We start from the raw sequence: 23,446 nt of genomic DNA, 5'->3' as shown, positions 1-23,446 counted from the left end.
GAGGAGATCCTGCTTCCACTGGCAGAGTAACAAAATCCATGGTATTATTGTAGGCCTGGTATCTACAATGAAGACAGTATTCCTACATAGAAGACTCTAAGATGGATATATTTAGTGAGTCAAGGTGTTAGGGCAGCCCTTGTGTATTAGTCCATTTTCACACTGCTATAAAGACATACCTGAGACTGGGAGATTTATAAAGAAAAAGTTTAATTGATTCACAGTTCTTCATGGCTAGGGAGGCCTCAGGAAACTTACAATCACGGTGGAAGGCAAGGGGGGAAGCGAGGCATGTCTTAACACGGTGAAGCAGGAGAGAGAGAGAGAGGGCAGCGGAAACTGCCACTTTTAAACCAGCAGATCTCATGAGAACTCCCTCACTATCACAAGATCAGCATGGGGAAAATGGCCCCCAAAATCCAATCACCTCCCAACAGGTCCCTCCCTCGACACGTGGGGATTACAATTGGAGATGAGTTTTCGGTATGGACACAGAGCCCAACAATATGACCGTGGCTCTGTGTTGAGGATAGTAGAGTTTGAATTCTGGTCCCATGAACTATTAGCTTTGGTCTTTGGACAGGTTATTGAAACTGTTTTAGTCATATTATTCTCAACTTTAAATGGTCTATTAATCATGCCTAGCTCACATGCATGTTGGGAAGATTCTACAGGCTTATGTAGGTAAAGCATTCAGTCCCCTTTTATATGCAAAATGATGATCACTCTAAAAGCTTATTACATCTTTCCTACTTCCTCCTTCTTCCTTTTATTCTTTTTTCTTCTTAATATTATTTCTTTTCTCTTGTTACTTTTATTATTTGTGTAACCCACCTGCCAATGTTTGAGCTGATTTTATGACAGCTAATGAAAATTTAATTTTCCAAATGTGAGAGTATAAATTCTTGGTAAATTCTGTAGCAAAAATATGCTAAAGTAAAAAATTAGCAGGGATTACTGCAAGGATGTTCTAAACACTGCCACATGGGAGAAACAGTAATAGTCTTTATTGTGTGATTGTCATGATCCACGCAGTTTTCTAAACCCTATTATGTGATTTAATCTTCACAATATGTTTATGAGGTTGTAGTTACTATTGGCCTCATTGTAGAGGTGAAGACTATAAAACCTCATGGAGATGGTATATTAATGTAACTAAGAGTACATCACTAGTTCTGAGCAAGACAGGATTTAAATCTTGTTCATTGAACTGTGCCGTTTCCGCAACCATCATCTCCACTGGAGTTTCTAATAGGAAAGGTTCAGATCATGGGTAGATACCCCAGAAAATAATACTCCTATTAGCAGAGGAGAATGGTGTCAAAAAAAGGAGGCTCAAAGGAGATGATCATTAATGTAAAAAGGGTTTATGATATCCTTTCTTGTGTCTAAAAAACACAGGCAAAAACTTTAATCTTAAGAGAGGCAGCTACAATGTAGAAAAGCATTTTGTAATGAGCTCAATTCCATTACATAATTTTTAAAAATAAAAAAAATGGCATTTATTACCTGACTATCTCAAAGTGATTTAGGTTGTGAGATTTTTTAAAAAATAAAATAAAATGGTTATTTTTGAACAGTTTTAGTTTTACAGAAAATTACATAGATAGCACAAAGAGTTTTCATGTGCATGGTTACACACAATTTTTATATTAACATCTTGCATGAATATGGCACATTTGTTACAATGAATGAATGAATATTGAAACATTATTATTAACTAAAGCCCATGCTTTATTTCGATTCCTTTAGTTTTTATCGAATGTATTTTTTCTGTTGTAGAATTCCATCTAGGAAACCACATTACATTAACTTGCCATGCCTCTTTAAGCCTTAGGCCTCTGTTGGCTGTGGCAGTTTGATGTTAGGAATTTTAAAGAAACCAATCATCTGTTCTTACAGCGATAACATTTCATACATTTTAAGTAATTTTTTCAGAAGTGAACATCCTCAAGCCAAGTTTTTACTAAACTGTAGCTGTGAATTGCTCATACGAACAAAGAACTACATACAGTTCAAAAATCAAAGGTGATTTTATTAATGGATCTTGCTTTTAAATGTTATCCCCAAAACACTGACACTTACATATGGGATAAATTTGTATCATATATATCTTTTAGTTAAAAAAAAATGACAGGTAAACCAAGCACCATGACAAGATAATTTAAAACAAAGATGATAATTCAGAGCTTTAAAACCTTCCAGAAAGCTTTACAAAGCCTTCCCTAATCTGACGCATTAATGGAACTTTTGAGTGTGTATTTGGTACTACCCCTGGGCTATTTTAGAGCTCATTTTAAATCATCCACTAAACCTACAATTGAATCCAGCTAAAGAATGCAACTAAGCAGAAGCAACTGTCCTTGGCATGACTAACACATACTGAAAGTATAAATATATACATATAAATATATATAAATATTATTTATAATATATAAATATATAAACATTATTTATTAAATATATATAAATATTATTTATAATATATAAATATATAAACATTATTTATAATATATAAATATATAAAAATATGATATATAAATATTATGTATAATATATAAATATATATTATAACTAACCAAGAGTATTGTTTTCTCTTTAGATGACAAAGATAAAATCAGTTATTTCTAGTAGAGTTTTTTTTTTTTTTGGAGTCTCACTCTGTCGCCCAGGCTGGAGTGCAGTGGCATGATCTCAGCTCACAGCAACCTCCACCTCCCAGGTCTGAGTGATTCTCCTGCCTCAGCCTCCCGAGTAGCTGGAATTATAGGCGCATGCCATCAGGCCTGGCTAATTTTTGTATTTTTTGTAGGGATGGGGTTTCACCATGTTGGGCAGGCTGGTCTTGAACTCCTGACCTCAAGTGATTGCCGGCCTCGGCCTCCCAAAGTGTTGGAATTATAGGCTTGAGCTGTTGTGCCCAAGCAGAATTTTGTTTTGTCTCACACACTCCTTTCATATTTATATAGCTGCTTTGAGACAGGATAAAAAAAAAATAGATGTCAGGCCCTTTGACGAACCTGATGTCTTTGCTCTTAGCCAAGCCCACTAGCTCTTCAGTTTGGCTATTCCACTGCTTTTGCTGGCATCTGAAAGGTTCAGTATATCAGCCCTACTCAGTGTCCCACAGTTCAAGAATTTTGGAAGATACTAGAGATTCTATTCTAGACAAAAGTTAGCTCTAAGGGATCAGTTCACGTTGCAGAATGAAGATCAAAATTAAAATCTCTATGGTCTAAAAGAAATAGTTTGGAAAGTGTCAGTAGGATGTCAACACACCTATGAGGTAACACACCTTCTCCGATCACAGGGTATCATGTGGGATTCCCATGATAGAATCAACAACTAATGGTCCAATGAAGCTACATTAGTCAATTTTTTGTGTCTAAATATGTCAGTAGAGAATTAGCCCTACCAGAATATTTGAAAGGGAATAGTCCAGGTAATCCTAAAAGATGTAAAAAAATGGAATGACAAAACAAAAATGAGAGAGAAACAGAACCAGCATCAGAAACCTGAGTGCTCCTGTCGCATCACTACCTTGGGGCTCGGATCAGGTGCCAGGTAGAAGACGTGGCTCAGCAGAAAAGATGATGCGCAGGGGGGTTATGGGAGCCAGTCCCCCAGAAGCTGCCAGAATCGGGGCAGAGTAGTGGCTAGGACATCAGATGTCCCTAGGACAGCTCAGGGACATCAGCTCAAAGTTTTAGGAAAACAACAACTCTTTCTCTGTAGAAATCCTCTTTCAGTTATATGCTCATTTTAGGAATTACAGTACTCTGGATAAAAATGATCAAATAATTGCCTAATTGATGACATTATTTTATAGATCAGAAGACTTTAGAAAATATATATTATTGTACATATAATACCGAACATTATTTAAGGCAGAGTTACAGAGCGAAGAGCTTTTCTTAATTGAAGAATACCAATAGATTCTCTAAACAAAGTAGCTATTATTTAATAATGCTAATGTGATTAAAATAGGAAGGCAAGGAGAACTCAATCATATGAAATGAGACTACACTCTGGTCAATACTCCACTAAGTGTTTTACATACATCAATGCATTTAACACAACAATTCAAAATTACATATTAAATACTGGCAAAATTTTATATTTGCTGATTAACATCAACTTTTAAAAAATTGTGTGGTTAACACCTCAAAACACAATCATAGATTATAAAACAGAAACCATATTTATTTAGTACATTGACATTTAATCACTCTTACATAATTTTTTCTTAAAAATATTTCTTCTACTAATTTTAGAGGCCTTAAAAATGTCTGTGCTTCTATTCACAATCGCAAAGACTTGGAACCAACCCAAATGCCCATCAATGATGGACTGGATAAAGAAAATGTGGCACATATACACCATGGGATACTATGCAGCCATAAAAAAGAATGAGTTCATGTCCTTTGCAGGGACATGGATGAAGCTGGAAACCATCATTCTCAGCAAAATAACACAGGAACAGAAAACCAAACACTGCATGTTCTCACTCATAAGTGGGAGTTGAACAATGAGAACATGTGAACACAGGGAGGGGAACATCACACAGTGAGGCCTATTGGGGGGTGGGGGGCTAGGGGAGGGATAGCATTAGGAGAAATACCTAATGTAGATGAAGGGTTGATGGGTGCAGAAAACCACCGTGGCACGTGTATACCTATGTAACAAACCTGCACGTTCTGCACATGTATCCCAAAACTTAAAGTATATATATAAAAAAAAGAATGCCTGTACTTAAATACATTTAGTTCCTTCTGGAAGACATCATAAAAATTCCATGCTTCACCAACTGCTAAGATATTTGAGCTAATAATGTACAAACTGAAAAAAAAATCCAAGGTAATCAATATTTTTAAAGTATTTCTCAAAGTCTCTTTTTCACATGTGAAACCCATAGCTTTGTACACTCTTAATTTGGCATCTCTTTTATGTTTGGTATTTCCTGGAAAAATTCTATTAACATATACTCTGGGGCTGGGGGAAATTTGATTTGGCTAAATGCGGAGATAATACATGTAATCTTAAGGATTAACTTCAGAAAGTGGACTCAAGATAATTAGTGATCAAATTTACTTGCCCTGGGCCAAATTTAATTCTTGTGATTTAATGCACGCTTTAAACTGGTCAATCTAAAAATATGTGTAGCCTTCTCTTCTGGAATTTATCCCTTCATTGGACACCACTGGTATTTCACCCACATCCCCTGAGATACATTTACCAGCTTCTGTGTGGTTTGCCTCTAACAGCCGGCTTCTGCCACATTCTTCAGAGGACTTCTCCTGGGCTACTAGATCTATTAGGATCAGAAATGCCTGGAAGATTACCTGTGCTCAGTTCTTCCTAGGCAGCCCCTTGGCCAATAGCCGACTGGCCCTGGAAGGCAAGCTAGCTCCCTTGCTCTTGTAAGTAACATACTCCGCATTGTGACTTACACTCAGAGCTCTTGGTGGAATTGGGCTGAGAATGGGAATTTGACAAAAACAAAGAAACAAAACAAACAAAAAAAAACCCTCACCTTTGTTTCCTTTCTTTCTCTTTCTTAACTTCCTTACTTGATTCTCCTGGAAGCATTTGAATATGAATCCACATCTTGTTGGTTTCTGGGAACCCCAATCAAATACTCCCCTGATTTAGCCATTCTTCAAAATAAGGAAGATCAGTTTCACATATGGTAGTGTAAAAATCCTAAATAGATTATCTACCACAGGTCTAATACAACAAAAAAGTTACAAGTGGCAGTAATTCCAAGAAAGCAAACATTGTTCTATTTTAGAAGTTTTACTAAATATGATTAACAGTATTCATTTTTCAAAGGTGAAAATTGTCATTATAATTAATAAATAGAAAATAGAAATCAGAGAAAAATGAATGTCAATCCAACGCTTAATTAGAAGTGTCCAACCACATTCAAATTATAGGAGACTTTGTGGATTAGATTAGCATCTCTCCCCAGTTTTATGATTCTGTGATGGTTTCTTCCCATGTACAATTCATATAAATCAAATATAATAGGTAAATTAATTTCTGTAACAAGACTAAAAATGAGATAATTATAATTATATGAAATAGAAAATAAATTTGTTGAAATTATTAGAAAAGCAGCAAATGACAAGCTCTACCATAATTATATTTTCAAAGAAATCCATGATACTTGAAGATTATGTTTCCTGGATTTGTCAGAGAAAGGCTTTAAAAAATATTTTTTTCTCTTATCATTAAAATTCCTATGTTTGCAGCAAGTTTGTTTTTTGTTTTCTGACTATAAGAAATTATCTGACTTAAAGCTGCTGTACTAACTATTCATGCAGATGACTTAAAAACATACCACAGATATCAGTAAAAGCTCCTTCAAGACTCAAGGAACATATGTGAAAGTGCCCTATATGTGTTTGCCCTTTTAAAATATTCTAAAATTATATGACTGAAAAGTATTAGTGATCTAGCTATTCATACCTCTCAGGTACTTATAACGAAATTACATATCTTTCAGGTACTTATTGTTTCCTTATGTATAAATACTCTCAGGTAACAATAATGAAACAAAGATGACATTTCTAGCCATGGCAGATTAAACTTGTCTTAGAAGTGACTGAGAATAATTCAATCTGATGATATACTTTAAAATAATAGGTTTTCTACCAACTCAGTGAATATGGACAGAGAGAAATTGGAAGGAGGGAATATTTTTCTCAAATTGTGAATTTTTAGAATCAGACTACCTTAATATAGATCACTGGGTGGTGCAGATGTTTGTCAAGCTTCTCATGGGGGATAACTAAAGAAAAAATAGGGACATTTCTCCTATATTTATGAAAAAGCAAATCACAGAGGATAACAAGAAAAAACAGGTACATTTCTTCTATATTTATGAAGGATCAAATACATAAACTTGAGAAGAAGATATTATAATTTCCATTGTTCAAATAGGGAAACTGAGTTTCAAATATGAGTAAACAAATTACCGGTATTAACTCATTATCTTCTATAGAGCATGCCTATAATCTTGACATTTTCTCAGGGATGAAGTGCTGGTCTCTGGAAAACAGCTTCATCTTTTTTTCTTCATCTTGCTCAGAGGCAGAAGGAAAAGTGGAGAGACCATTAGAATAGCAAGTTTTGTTCTACTGAAACAAATAAGATCCACCCTTGGAAGCCTTGTTAGAAAATTTTGGATTTCATGCTTCCATGACCTCAGTTTACGTAAGGCCACATTAGGAAAAAAGAATAGGCAGGACATTCCAAGGAGCATTGGCCACCACCCTCACAAAGACCAATATTAGGACAAAATTCATGTAAGAGTGTCACCCAACAATCCCTTTTTAGAATTACATTTTTAAAATGATGTATCATTGTATATTGGTTATATTGGGGTGGAAAACTTGTCTTTTCATTCAAAGTCCCATTGAACAGGAGTTGGCAAACATTTTCTGCAAAGGACCATATGGTAAATATTTTAGAATTTCCAGGACAAAAGGAAAAACAAAGAATATGATTTATTCTTGTTTTAAATGTAAACATTAACAATTGTAAACACACATACACACACACACATTAGTTTGTGGGCCACACAAAAACAGGCAGCAGGCCAGATTTGGCTATAGGGCCATATTTTGCTGACCTCTGATATAGAACATGAAAAACTGAGCAGAGATGTGATGAGGATTACACATCATGCAAAATACTGAATTTGACCAAGGATGAAACTTTGAGTTGTTTCTATTTGAAGAAGGACTGAGTGTGTTTAATTTTGACATCAGCATTTTTAACATAATGTATGAGCAAAAGATGTATCATGGTGGGCATTTTTGCTGGATTCTTCCCAAACATTCTATTCCACAGGTTGTTTTTTTCTTCCAGTTATGGCAATTCCTTCTGCCTTCCCAGTGATCAGGTAAAGAATGGATATAGAACAAAATTCTGGCCAATAGGATATATAGGGAAGTCTACGTGGAGGCATTCCAGAAAGATTTTCTTACGAAGGAGACCTAGGTGCTCCTCTAGTTTTTTTATATTCTTAATACGGTCCTATGTGAATATGAGATGCGATGGCAGGAACAACTGCACCCGTCCTGTTACCAGCCTGAATGTGAGACCGGTATGCAGAATGGCATATCAAAAAGTCAATGTTATCATTTAGCTGGTTCTGCCTGCTTCTCCAGCCAGATCCAAGAATGACCATAGATTTATATATTTTCTAAAACTCTTTCTAGATTATTTCTGATTCACAAAGGTACTTGTCTTTTAAGTTATTATAGCTGTACCTTTGACATTTTAGCTTTCATCTATATTACTGTGAACTTAAAGCATTCTCGGGTTCAGAGCTATTTAAAATTTTTTTAAAAATAGCTAGGCCTTTTACATTTTAGCTATGAGGTACTTGAGAAATAATCAGGGCAGCCTGAAAGTATGACTTATGTGGACATCTTGATTTTTGGTGTCCAGATTTTCTGGTGTCCAGATCTAGCATTCAAAGGCAGACTGATTGAGTTGGCCTCTTGCACTTGCACTAGGCTATGGCATATACTGGTCAGTCTGTGGATGGTGCCAGACACCTTAGTGCCCATCTGGCATCTGGCCACTGGAGTAGAATGGCATGGTACAGTTAGGTGTGGTGGTAGTTGAGCTAGACAGTACAAAGCAAGGATAGATGTAACCACCTGTGGCTGCTGTTACCTGAAATGCACAGTAAATGTGGAAACATCACTAAATAGGAGGTAGATTGAGGGTTGTCTTAAGAGAGAGAAATATACTCCAGTGCAGGAGGGGTGGAGGTCACTCTTCTCCCTTTAAGCCTAGAGAACATTGTGAATGTGATACAGAGAAATTGTATGTTTGGAGCTCTATTGGCTTGAAACTTGAATGTAGAGTTCATAGCATCAGAGAAGCAGTCAAGCCAGGAGGTGTAAGCCTATATCTGGGGCTACAAAGAAGGAAGTTGAAATATAAGTGGAGAGCCCCTCAGAAATAGCTGAGAAGTTTGGAGAATATGTCCTTGAGGTACACAGGATAATGAGACTTCACTTTAGATGTTGAAGTGAAGTTAATTTTAACACCAATTTTATTTTTCTTCCTTGAAAATTCTGTATATATTCCTTCTCACTTGTGCTCTGCAGCTATTTTCTATCAGATTGAATTAAGCACAAATGAAAATGAAGGCAAAATCCTCACCCGCACTACTCCTGCCAGGTAAGGGTATAGTACTTTCCTGCCAACAATCTCCCAAATAAATAAATGGCACTGAGCCTGAGTTCTTGGATTTAGACAAACATTTCCAAAATAGAACTATTAACCTGTCACTGAAGTGGGGGCAAGTAGCCCTTCTTATCTGGCAAGTATTAAAGAATGTTGGATGAATGAATTTTACTACTGCTGTATCTCATGGGAGTAAATTAGGCTAACAAAAAAAAATGTGTGGGTTGATTAATTACTTGTGTTTACTGGCAGGACATTCCTAAGATACTCTACCATGTACTCCCTCAGTTTATATTATGTTGGAGATGTCTAATATGGTTTTAAAATCCATTATTCAGAAATAGAGTGAGAAAGTCTACATCTTTTATGTGCCAAGCCATGAAAGAAAGTGGTCATTGAAAAAATAAAACATCCTTTGTCTTAGGTAAGTTTCACATAAAATTCTGCATGCTGGAATTCGGAATTGCTTTGGGAACCAGCCAGGCAACAACCAAAGTGGGGACAGGACAAAATAAAGAAGGACATGAACGTACTATGTACATTTAATATGTCTTGAGTTTTAACTAAAGTAATTCTGAATGCATATCCACTGGTTCATTTCCAAACAATTTTGAAAAGATTATTTATACTTCATGGATAATGAACACTAGGTTACAGATATTATTTATATTGCGTATCAGAGAGTAGTATATTGGTACCAGAAACTCAAATATGATTGTCAACCTAATTGAACTGAAATATTTCTGCCATTATTATCAGAAAGAAATTTGCTATTTAATGATTCTGGACAAATTGAGCAGCTGATTGGTATTTTTTGAACAATTATTTCATTCATTCATTCATTTGTTCATTCATTCATTTAACAAGAATGAGTGTTTACTATGTGTGAAACCCTGTGCTAAATGCTGGGAATATAGAGGTAAACAGCCCTGAAACTCATGTAACTTATGGTCCAGTGTATTTCAAACTCCCAAAGTTAAAGTTTTATGTATGCATCATAATACGATGTATAATGTAAGTCAGATAAAAAATAGCTAATATTTCAGAATTTAGATAAAGAAGGACACTAGCCTAGGACAAAGTAATCAACATAACAGGAAACTGTATCTTCAAAGCAATTTTCTTGCAACTTTGTTGTGAATGTTTTATGTATTTCTTCTGCTTTCGATTTTCAATCAAGGTAATGAATATCTATGATACAAAAAGTATGCTAAAAACAAGGATTCTTCAGTAAAATGACACAAACCAAATGAATGTTTATATTTTATATGTCTCCATTATATTTATTTTTTATAAATTAGGAATCCATGAGTCATCCTTGACTCATTTACGTTCTTCACCAATTCCTCAATCCCCCACTGCTCAACCATTCCAACCTATTGATTCAATGTTCTTAATATATCTCAAATCCAGCCCCTCCTCTTCATTCTCAACTGCTGCTATCTTATGCCAGGACACCATAATTTTTCCCTGCATTAATAAAATAGCCGTAGTATAGGGTTTTCTGCTTTCTTTCTGAAAGTGCTCTGAATTTATCTTCTCATGCCACACAGACTACATTCTGAAGTCCACTTTTGTTCCCTTTATTATACTTCTCCTGCGGCTCTCCAGTGAATACAAGATCAATTCCAAATCCTTTAGCATGGCATGCAGGGCCATTTCTGTTCTATTTTCTGTCTGCTTTGGGGGCTCCATTAAGCACCACTGTTCCATCGAATACCCTGCACACTCCTCACATTGAGTCACTAACTGTCCCTGAAACATCTCATTCTCTATCATCCCTTGTTTTTCGTAATGCTTTTTTTTCCTCCTGGTTGCCCTCCTTCAACTCTCATTTATATAGTAAAATATTACTCAATTTTCTGTTTAACCACTTTCTCCTCCTCAAACCTTTCCAAGCAAGACCAGTTCTCCTAATCCCTACTCTACTAGGCATTCTTACATTGCTATAAAGAAGAAAGTTGCCAAATATGAGTACCTGTGTACCATTTTAAACTATTGATCTGTAGAATGAAAATCTCATTGATTTTTCACTTATAGGTTTTACCTTAGAGCTCCTGAACCATTCCATACTGCCAGACACTGGGAACAATACGGCCAATCTTTTGAATCTAATCTATTATCAATAGCATGCCAGAGAAAAAAGAGTTAATACCATCAAGAAAATGTTGTAAATTCCAGGACTTTGTTTTGCATAATGGTCAAAACTTGCATTTGCAATTGAGGAACATTAGACATAAACATTTAATATAGGAAGGTTAGCCTTTTCTTTGAAACTCACAAATCTTATTTGCTTCAAAAATTAGTGAAATCCTTTCCTTATTAAACAACAACGAAAAATACCTGAGACTGGGTAATATATAAAGAAAAGAGATTTAATTGACTCATGGTTCTGCAAGTTGCACAAGGATGGCACTGACATTTGCTCGGCTTCTGGTGAGGGATTCAAGAAGCTTAAAATCATGGTGAAAGGCAAAGGGGAGCAGGCACATCACATGGCAAAAGCAGGAGCATGAAAGACAGTCATGGAGAGGAAGGTGTCACGTTCTTTTTTTTTTACCTTTTACTTTAAGTTCTGGAATACATGTGCAGAATGTGCAGGTTTGTTACATAGGTATACATGGGCCATGGCGGTTTGCTGCACCTATCAACCCGTCATCTAGGTTTCAAGCCCCACATGCATCAGCTATTTGTCCTAATGCTCTCTCTCCCCTTGCCCCACACCCCCCCAACAGGTTCCAGTGTGTGATGTTCCCCTCCCTATGTCCATGTGTTCTTATGGTTCAACTCCCACTTATGAGTGAGAACATGCGGTGTTTGGTTTTCTGTTCCTGTGTTAGTTTACTGAGGATGATGGTTTCCAGCATCATCCATATCCCTGCAAAGGACATGAACCCATTCTTTTTTATGGCTGCATAGTATTCCATAGTGTATATGTGCCACATTTTCTTTATCCAGTCCATCATTGATGAGCATTTGGGTTGGTTCCAAGTCTTTGCTATTGTGAATAGTGCTGCAATAAACATACGTGTGCATGTGTCTTTATAGAGAATGATTTATAATCCTTTGAGTATATACCCAGTAATGGAATTGCTGGGTCAAATGGAACCTTTTTAACTGACCAGATCTCAGCAGAACTCACTATCATGAAGATAGCAATAAGCCATGAGGGCTCCACCCCCAAGACCCAAATACCTTCCACCAGGCCCCACCTCTAGTGCTGGGGATTATAATTCAACAGGAGACAGGCAGGGACAATATCCAAACTATATCACCTACCCAGGGTAAAGTTAGCTACTTTCTCTTCTGTGTTCCAATAACTAGCTACTGCAAATCTTTATTACTGGTAGTTATCTAAGTATCTGCCTACCTAATAACTATCCAGCTCCTTAAGAACATGAACCGTTTTGAATTCACAGTGATTTCCTCAATATCTTACACAAAAAAAGCCATGATTTGTATAAAATTCAACTCCTGTTTATCAAAGAAATAAGAAATCAGCAACTGTATAAATAGAAAACGCAATTCTTTCTAATGCAATCTTTTTAATACAATTATGAATAATGCTGCTGTGAAGATCTCAATGCAAAAATTTGCATGCAGATATAACTAAAGGCCATTATAGCTCTAGTAGACTTTTCATAGATCTGCATGAAAAGATTTGCAATATAGATGCATGGACATATGTTGAGGTACATATTGAAGTTCATTTGTTTACATCTGGATATTGTCATGGGCTGAATTGTGGTTTCTTGCAAATTCTTGCACCATAAATCCTAACTCCAAGTACTTCAGAGTACTATCAAAAGAGAGTAGAGATGCAGTAAATATACCTGTAACTGGAGGAATTCAAATGTTTCCATGAGATGTATTTAAAAGAATGTTTTACATGTTGAATAAAGAAATAAATTACAGTGGCTCATGCCTGTAATCCCAGCACTTTGGGAGGCCGAGGCAGGCAGATCACTTGAGGTCAGGAGTTCGAGACCAGTCTGGCCAACGCGGTGACCATTTCTTCTAAAAATACAAAAATTGGCTTGGTGTCGTGGCATGCGCCTGTAATCCCAGCTACTCGGGAGGCTGAGGTGGGAGAATCCCTTGAACCTGGGAGGCGGAGAGACTTTCTCAAAAAAAAAAAATAATAATAATAATAATTACTCTTTGAGAATAAATGTAATCTCCTATGCTTTTCTAGCATGTAACAAAATGTGCTATTTTGCTTTAAGTAGTGTATATTTCACTCAAGAAAAACAAAGAAAAATGATATTTCACTCAAGAAAAAAAGAATAAAGAAAGAAGGAAGAGAGGAGGGAAAAAGAAAGGAGAGGAGAAAGAAAAACAGAAACTCTCATTTCTTTAGGCGACATCTTTTTGATGCCAGCTATCTACTTAGCGACCAAGCATGACCGATGTATATACATATTTTGGCCCCATGTTTATTGCATTTATCTGCACTTGCTAAACTGTCCTAATATCCTCGTAAATTCTTCCCTGTAGGATTCTAGCAAAGTCCTCCCACAACTCCAAGAATCCTTAGATCCACTATCACTCCCTGATGCTAGCTTCTTCAGACCTCAACAACCAATTTGGAAGCACAGATTAACAATTTTTTATTTAGTCTTTAATTCATTTCTTCAAAAGAATAGTTACAGAATACCTTAGGGGTAGTAATTGTAAATGTTCTAAAAACCCTAGAGACCCAAAGAATATTAGAAAGGATACAAATAAGAAAGCATACAGGCTGGGTGTGGTGGCTCACGCCTGTAATCCCAGCACTTTAGGAGGCCGAGGAAGGTGGATCATTTGAGGTCAGGAGTTTGAGATCAGCCTGGCCAACATGGTGAAACACCGTCTCTACTAAAACTACAAAAATTAGCCAGGCGGTAGTGGCACGCACCTGTAATCCAAGCTACTCCGGTGACTGAAGCTGGAGAATCGCTTGAGCCTGGGAGGCGGAGGTTGCGGTGAGCCGAGATGGCGCCACTGCACTCCAGTCTGGGCAACAGGGTGAGATCTTGTCTCGAAAAAAAAAAAGAAAGAAAAAAGAAAGCCTACAAGCACCCTGGCTGATAATTTTCTTAATATTACATTTTAACTGTGCTTTATTTTCTGGAATCAGTCCTTTATAAGATATATTCCTTGCAAATATTTTCTTCTATTCTATAGATTGTCTTTTCATTGTCTTAAGAGTTTCTGCAAAGGACAGATGATTTTAATTTTTATTTGAAGTTCAGTTTTTCAAAATTCATTTTTTGAATCATCTCTTTGATTTTGTATCCAAGAAATATATGCCTAACCCAAGATCACAAAAGTCTCTGTTTTTGTTTTCTTTTAGAGGTTTTATAGCATTAGGCTTTACCTTTAGATCTAAGATCCAATTTGAATTGATGCATTTTAAACAATTTTAGTGAGGTATCTTTTACATAGCATAAAATTCACCCATTTAAGGTGGCATTTCAATGATTTTTAGGAATGTTACCAAGTGATGCAACTATCACCATAAATTAGTTTTATAACATTTTCATCTCTCATATCAATAATATTCCTCATCTGTATTTACAATTAATTACCGCTCCAACCCTCAGCCTCAGGCAACCAATAATCTAGTTTCTGTTGTATAAATTTGTTTGTATGGACATTTAGTGTAAATGGAATCGTAAAATATGTGATCTCTTGTGCCTGGCTTCTTTCATTGGGCATAATGTTTTCGAGGGTCAGCCATAACACAGCGTGTATGAGTTTATTGCTTCTTATGGCTGACTAGTATTCCATTGTATGATTACAACAAATACTGTCTATCCATTCACCAGTTCAGGGGCATTTGGGTCCTTTCCAGTTTTTGGCAATTATGAATAATGCTGCTGTAAAGATATGCATGCAAGGATTTGTGTGCAGATTTGTTTACATATGGGTATTGTCATGGGCTGAATTGTGCTCTCTCGCAGATTCTTGCACCATAAATCCTAATTCCAAGTACTTCAGAGTGTGGCTACATCTGGAGATAGTGTCTTTAAAGAGATAATGCAAGTAAAATGGGGCCATTAGAGTGGGCCCTAATCCAATATGACTGGTTTCCTTATAGGAATTGGAGAATAGGACCTAGGCACACACAGAGGGAAAACCAAGTGAAGACATTGGTAAAAGATAGTCATCTGTCATCAAAAAAAGAGACACTCAGAAGAAACGAATCCTCCCAGCAACTTGATCTTGGGCTTCCATACTCCAGAATTCTGAGGAAATTTATTTCCATTATTTAAACCACCTGTTTGTGGTTCTTTGTTATGGCAGCCATATCTGACTAATACATATATCAATTTGTTCCAGTAACATTTGTTGTAAAAACAAAACCATCTCCACTGAATTGTCTGGTATTTTTATCCATATATGTGTGGATTTATTCTGGATTCAATATTCTATTCCACTGATGTATTTATCTATCTTTAACCCAATACCAACTTGTCCTTTATTGATGTAGATTTATACGATAAGACTTGAAATCAGGTAGCATTAGTCCTCCATTTCTTTTTCTTTTTCGGACTTGTTTTAGTTATTCTAACTCCATTGTTTTTTTCCATATGAATTTTAGAATCAGATTGCCAATTTCCCCCTTAAAATAATTGCTGGGATTTTGATTGGGATTGCATTTCACCTGTTGATCATTTGGGGAAGAATTGGTATCTTCACATATTAAGTCTTCCGAGACATGAAAAAAAAATCTATTTAGACCTTCTTCAGTTAATCTCAACAACATATTGAAGCTTTTTAGTGTATAGGTCCTTCACCATTCTTGTTACATTTCTCCCTAAACAGTTGATATTTTCATTATACTTTAATAATGTTTTAAAATTTTATTGTTGATTGTCATTAATATATAGAAAGACATTTGAATTTGTGTATTGAAATCTTGTTAAAATCACTCTAGCTCTAGTAGACTTTTTATAGATTCCTTTGGGTTTTCTACATAATCTTTTTTAAACTTTTAGGTTCAGGAGTACATGAACAGGTTTATTATATAGGCAAACCTATGTCAGAGGGGTTTGTTGAACAGAATATTCCATCACTCAGGTATTAAGCCTAGTACCCATCAGTTATTTTTCCTGATCCTCTCCCTTCTCCCGCCCTCCACCCTCAGGTATGCCGCAGTGTGTGTTCCCCTCTATGCGTTTACGTGTTCTCATCATTTAGCTCCCACTTATATTTAAGTCAGAACATGTGGTATTTGGTTTTCTCTTCCTGCACTGGTTTGCTAAGGATAATGGCCTCCAGCTCCATACATGTTCCTGCAAAGGACATGAGTTCGTTCCTTTTTTTTATAGTTGCATAGTATTCCATGGCGTATATGTACCATATTTTCTTTATCCAGTGTACCATTGATGGGCATTTAGGCCGATTCCATGTCTTTGCTATTGTAAATAGTGTTGCCATGAACATACGTGTTCATGTGTCTTCATAACAGAACAATTTATATTCATTTGGTTATATACCCAGTAAAGGGATTGCTGGGTCAAATGGTAGTTCAGATTTTAGCTCTTTGAGGAATCATCACCTTGCTTACCACAATGGTTGAACTAATTTACACTCCTACCAACAGTGTATAAGCATTCGTTTTTCTCTGCAACAGTCCCAGCATCTGGTATTTTTTGACTTTTTAATAATAGCCATTCTGAGTGGTGTGATATGGTATCTCATTGTGATTTTGATTTGCATTTCTCTAATGATCAGTAATATTGAACTTTTTTTCATATGCTTGTTGGCTGCATACATGTCTTCTTTTGAAAAGTCATCCGTTCATGTCCTTTGCCCACTTTGTAATGGTGTTGTTTGTTATTTTCTTGTAAAGTTATTTAAGTTCTTTATAGATGATAGATATTAGACCTTTGTCAGATGCATAGTTTACAAAAAGTTTCTCTCATCCTGTATATTGTCTGTTTACTGTGTTGATAGTTTCTTTTTTTGTGCAGAAGCTCTTTAGCCTAATTAGATCTTATTTGTCAATTTTTGCTTTTGTTGCAATTGCTTCAGTGTCTTTGTCATGAAATCTTTCCCTATTCCAAAACAAGAATGGTATTGACTAGGTTGTCTTCCAGGGTGTTTATAGTTTTGGGTTTTACATTCAAGTCTTTAATCCACCTTGAGTTGATTATTGTATATGGTGTATGGAAGGGTTCTAGTTTCTACCTTCTGCATATGGCTAGCCAGTTATCCTAGCACCATTTATTCAATAGGGAGTCCTTTCCCCATTGCTTGTTTTTGTCAGCTCTGTCAAATGTCAGATGGTTGTAGGTATGCAGCCTTTCTGGACACTCTATTCTGTTCCATTGGTCTAAGTGTCTGTTTTTTTTGTTTGTTTTGTTTTTTGTTCTTTTGTTTTTTGCTTTTTTTTTTTTTTGAGACAGAGTCTCACTCTATCTCCCAGGCTAGAGTGCAATGGTGCAATCTCGGCTCACTGCAACCTCCCCCTCCTGGATTCAAGTGATTCTCCTACCTCAGCTCCCCCAGTAGCTGAGATTACTGGCACATGCTACCACGCCTGACTAATTTTTGTATTTTTAGTAGAGATGGGGTTTCACCATGTTGGTCAGGCTGGACTTGAACTCCTGACCTCAGGTGATCCACCCACCTCAGCCTCCCAAAATGCTGGGATTACAGGCATGAGCCATGGTGCCGGGCCTAGGTGTCTGTTTTTGTACCAGTACCATGCTGTTTTGGTTACTATATCCTTGTAACATAGTTTGAAGTTAACTAGATTGATGCCTCCAGCTTTGTTCTTTTTGCTTAGAATTGCCTTCAGTATTCAGGTTGTTTTTTGGTTCATGTGAATGTTAAAATAGATTTTTTTATACCTCTGTGAAGAATGTTATGTTACGTAATAATATAAATATTTATATTAGGGCAAAAATGTCCCTAAATACTGCTTTAGTTGTTTTGCCCACATTCAGATATCCTATGTGCTATGGTTTGGATGTTTGTTCCCTCCAAAACTCATGCTAAAATTTGGTTGCCATTGTGATTTTTGAGTGGTGATTGGTCCTTGAGGTCACTTTCCTCATAAATGAATTAATGTTGTCATGCAGGAGTAGGTTTATTATTATGGGAGTTGATTTTTTTTATAAAAAAGGTAAGTTTGGACTCCCTTCCGTGCTCTCTCTCTCTCTCTCTCTCTCACCCTCTTGTCTTCTGCCACATCATGGCACAGCAAAAAGGCCCTGGTAAGATGCCCACAACTTGACATTGGATTTCCTAGCCTTCATGATGGTAAACCAATACATTTCTGTTAATTATAAATTACCTAGGCCTCAGGTATTCTGTTACAGCAGCACAAAGCAAACTAAGACACTATATTTCCATTTTTATTCAACTCTAAACATTTTCCAATTTTTCTTTTGATGTCTTAAGTACATAATTTAGTTTTTAAATATTTGAGGAATTTTCAGGTATTTCTCTGCTACTGAATTCTATTTAATGCCACTGTGTTTAGAGAACATTATGTATTTTCTTTTAACATCATATGTTCATATTACATTTAAATACATAAAAGTACTTGAATGCTTGTAATTTATTGGGATTTATTTTATGTTTCATAATATGAGCTATCTTGGTAAATGCCGAGTGTACATTTGAAAAGAACAATTCTTCTTACCCCAGTTCTCATATATTTTAATCAAAATGAACCTTTGCTCTATTAAGTATCTGAATCCTCCAAAGTAATTAATACATTTTTCCCCATGCTATGGAGAAGTAAACCTTAAAATGGCTTGAAATTAAAATAAATTCATTTCTCTCCTGCTATTGCTTAAGGGTAACAACTCATGGGAAAAATATAGACTATCACACTTTCTAATTTATAGCAGAAATTACACACACAGAGAAATTACACACACAGAAATTACACACACACAGAAATACACAGAATGAAAAAAACTAAAAGGCAAAGGATTTGTGCACTTGACAGTTTCCCCTAAACGCCATTTCTCTAGATGGAATTTCAGTGCATGTAAAGTTCATAGAGTATAGAGCCCTTAGGAATTTTACATTCCTATGGTAAAATAGAATACACGTTTTCTCTTTTAGACTACTTAAAAAATGACTAAAAGCAAAAGTCTATACAAACACAAGCAATCATGTATTTAATCATATTTTTTTTAAAAAATAGTGTGTGGCAGAAACCATCCTAATTTTTTTCAAGTTTTCCAATAATGAGTTCAAGATGTCTTAACCACATGTCACTGAATCCTTGCAAATTTAGGATCGTCTGTAGGACAACAGACTTGCACTTTCAAAGTATGTTTGCTTTCAAGAGGCCTCAGAACTCTGAGACTCTTTCCACCCTTCAGGAACCTCACCATTGAATGACTCACTATGGGTGGGGAGTATGGGATATCACCCTTCATAAGCCCACCAATGTGGTCTTGGCAGTTACTTGACTCCCCTGACAAAATGGGAAATAACACAGGGAAGCCATCATGCTATGTTTTCATGCTACACAGAAACTGTTCTTGCTAAAAATATTACACAGATTTGCAAAGACTTAGAAGTATATAAAACATATTTTGATGCTTTCTCTTTTCATATAGACGTTTGTTTATATTGAGAGTTTATCAAAAAATAGCAGTAATAAACTTAACTTACTGAAAATCAGAGGTATTCTCTAAGACCCCCCAGAGGTATTCTCTAAGACCAAATTCATTCACATTTTAAGATTTTCAATCATATCTTAAATCTTGCCAAAACAATTTGTTATACATAAGGGGAAAGGTCATTTTCCTGAATATGCAGGAAAAAAAAATCACAAAATAATACTGAACTAACCTATCCTCACTTTTAACTTAACTTGAAATAACATCAATAGCTGATTCTGCTTCATGTGTGATTATCAACAACTCATAAAACTGTGACAAGAACAACATTTTTATACTAATTTAATATGTAAGTTCACATTCACATTAAAAAGTCAATTGTAACAGAACTGACTGTAGTCAAGCATATTTTATGTTAATGAAAAAAGGCTAAATGTAAAGTTTCATATTGTTCTCTTGAATTTTTAACAGATTTCTCCAAAATTTGGTACCAACCATAGAGCATGTTTCTTAATGTCTTTTGAAGACTTGAATAGAAAAAAAATAAAATTAACAACTGAATATTCATTTTGATTTTAAGTGGTTGATCAATTACCTTTATGTTTTTCCTATCAAGTAGAGAAATAGTTGAAAGGGCACACGAATCAACATGCATGTGGGGTTGTAGGAGTATCTCATATAATACTGATAAAAGGCAGATCACAAGAAGTGACTTAATTGCATTGCTAATACCATAGCCAATAATTTAATTTACCCCCCAAACTGCTAGCTTCCTCCTCAAGGGCAGTACCCGTCCTGTAGGACTGATGTGAATGTAGAAAGTAAAAGGTTTCAGAAGAGACTAAGCTACGCTTACTGACTTTCTTCGTTTTATTTCAACGAATTGTGAAATAGATACTAATTTTCATTTTACCAATTACATATTTAACCACAATGGTTAAAAAACTGCGAGACACCTGTTATTTTAACCTTGAAACTCCACTTTTCAACAGCACACAGGGACTGTAAGTAGAGAATAACAATATTTGATTTTCCTTTATGAGTAAAGACAGTTAACAGAGATTCCACATTATGAAAAATGGAATTTTATAGCCAGAAAGATCTTAGTGATAACAAATATAAAATAAAGAAACTGAAGCTTAGAAAGGTTAAGTGACTCGCCCAACTTTCCCCAAGCTGATAGTGACAGAAGTAGCATTGAAATACATGCCTCTTGAACTACATATTTTATTGAATGGCTTACCTTACCTTAACTTTCACATCAACTGCTCCACTGACTTATTCATTAGGGGAAAAAGACATTCCTGGGCTTTTAGAATAATCTCTTTGTGGAGCTGATTCACTTTTGGCCATATTTCTTTATAACCACAGCATGTTCATACTTTACAGAGTTCCGATGGGCTGGGTTCCAAAGAGTGTTAGGAACATAGGCAAATGGGACTTGCCAAACTGACTGCTCTTAATGGCCACTTCCAAGAGAGCTTCAGGCCATTAAAAGTCACCTATTCTGTTTTGTTGGGCACACAGCCAGTTAGTTCCACAGCTAGTGTTGTATTGAAACCCAGGGCCTAGCTGATACTTTAGGAAATTTTCCTTTTTTCTTTTCTCATTCCACTTCTCCACTCTAGAAATAAACTTCAAATTACAGACTGATTGTAAAGAATCACTCAATAAAATAATTAATTTAAAGGCCATAGCCTTTTATTCACTTATTATAGATAATAACTTCCTAGTCTACATTTCATTACAGCAAAAAAAGGTAAGCACAAAAACGACTGTTTATACCTGTGCAATAAGTTTGTGTGTGTGTACATGTAAGCATGTGCATGCATGTGGGGTGTGTCGATCATGAAACAGCAAGCAAATAAAACTTACACTTCAGGGGTGCTCATTTGAGTAGGTCCTTTCCAGCGCCCCGGGAGAGGGTCAGCAGCGGGTTCACATGACCATGAAGTGGGTTCACATAACCACATGTTTTTAAAAGATTCACAAAAGTAAGTTACTTTTACTGTAGTTGGTTAAGAGGGCCATGTCTTTTCACTCTCACTTAATCTTCGTCACACTTCACCTGGCATAGAATGTTGTCAAAGTGATTGCAGGAATACTTGAGATCCATCAAGAGGAAGTTGAATAGGGGATACACTTAGTTCTGGTTTAGTGTGCCTCCCAGTCACTGCCACATATAGTCAAGCTAGGCGAGTCAGTGACAGGTCTAGAATACTAACCAAAGTTTTCTGATTTTAATAGTAATGATCTTTACACTGTAGGACAGAGATAAGCAAACATTTTCTGTATTTACCAACTAGTAAATATTCTAGGCTTTGTGAGCCACATATGAGATGTCGTATGTTCTTTAAAAAAAAAAAATCTTTCTTTAAAATATTCAAGGCCGGGCGCGGTGACTCACGCCTGTAATCCCAGCACTTTGGGAGGCTGAGGCGGGCAGATCATGAGGTCAGGAGATCGAGACCATCCTGGCTAACACGGTGAAACCCCGTCTCTACTAAAAATACAAAACAAAATTAGCCGGGCGTGGTGGCGGGCACCTGTAGTCCCAGCTACTCGGGAGGCTGAGGCAGGAGAATGGCGTGAACCTGGGGGGGCAGAGCTTGCAGTGAGCCGACATGGCACCACTGCACTCCAGCCTGGGCGACAGAGTGAGACTCCATCTCAAAAAAAAAAAAAAAAAAAAAAATTGTCATACATTAGATAAGTGCATATAATTCTTCTGTTTTTGAACTCTGTATTCTGTGTGATTGGTCTATTTGCTGACATTTTCCCCAATATCACAAATCTTATTTACTATAGATTTGTAACAGGTCTTAATAATTGGTGTTATCAATTCTCCAGAGTTTCTTGGCAATTATTTGATCTTTTCAATTTAATATACATTTTAGAATCAGCTGATTAAGTTTAGATTAGGATTGAATTAAAATTATAGATTGATTTGTAATAATTGACAACTTTCCAGAGTCTTGCATCTACAATAAAATATACGGATGTGGTCTATTTCTAGATATATTTAGGTCTTCTTAAGTTTATTTAAATAAGATGGTATAGCATTGATTGTAGAAATCTTTGGCATCATTTTAAAATTTGCATCTATGTATTTAATATTCTCTTTCATTTTCTGTACAGTGTTGGTTTATAGAAATGGAAATGTTGTATATTATTATTACATTCTGATACTTTACTAAATTTACTCATTAATTCTAATATAGTTTTGAAATTAGATTTTCCAGGTACACAATAATAGTCTGCAATCAATTAAAACTATTACTTCATTTTCAATCTTTATATAGTTTCTCTCTAGTATAATGTTGATGAAAAGTGATATTAGAAATTGTCAATCTTTCTTCTCCAATCTCAGGTGGAAAGTTTTCAATAAGGGATGATAAGGTTAATGCTGGCTACAAAGTTTTCTGTAGATACTGTTCATCACTTCCCTTTTATTTCTAGTTTGTAAAGATTTTTTAATCGTAAGTGTGTGTTGAATTTTCTCCCTTGTTATGTTAACATGTGAATTTTATGTTAACATAGTGAATTATTACAACTAATTTTCAAATGTTAAAACATACTTGCTTGACATATTACCATTTTTGAATGTGGCTGGATGCAATGTGCTTAAGATATTTTTATCTATGTTCATTGGAGAAATT

General features: G+C 35.8%; 2 long non-coding RNA genes across 2 annotated transcripts in view; one reads left to right on the top strand and one right to left on the bottom strand.

Moving 5' to 3' along the window:
• The window catches only part of LOC105372759 (uncharacterized), a 28,328-nt gene extending 20,868 nt beyond the window's left edge, over positions 1-7,460 (bottom strand). The window contains exons 1-2 of the long non-coding RNA XR_001755130.2: positions 6,981-7,460; positions 5,534-5,657 (exon numbers count right to left, since the gene is read on the bottom strand). This is a non-coding gene — a long non-coding RNA (uncharacterized LOC105372759). The remainder of the gene's footprint in view (positions 1-5,533; positions 5,658-6,980) is intronic.
• LOC102724355 (uncharacterized) overlaps positions 1-23,446 on the top strand; it is a 177,651-nt gene that overhangs the window by 139,379 nt on the left and 14,826 nt on the right. The gene's annotated exons all lie outside the window — the stretch shown is intronic.

This window comes from Homo sapiens, chromosome 21, assembly GCF_000001405.40.
Source record: "Homo sapiens chromosome 21, GRCh38.p14 Primary Assembly".
NCBI lineage: Eukaryota > Metazoa > Chordata > Mammalia > Primates > Hominidae > Homo > Homo sapiens.
Note: the sequence above shows the minus strand (reverse complement) of the source record. Positions and strands in the feature narration are given on the sequence as shown.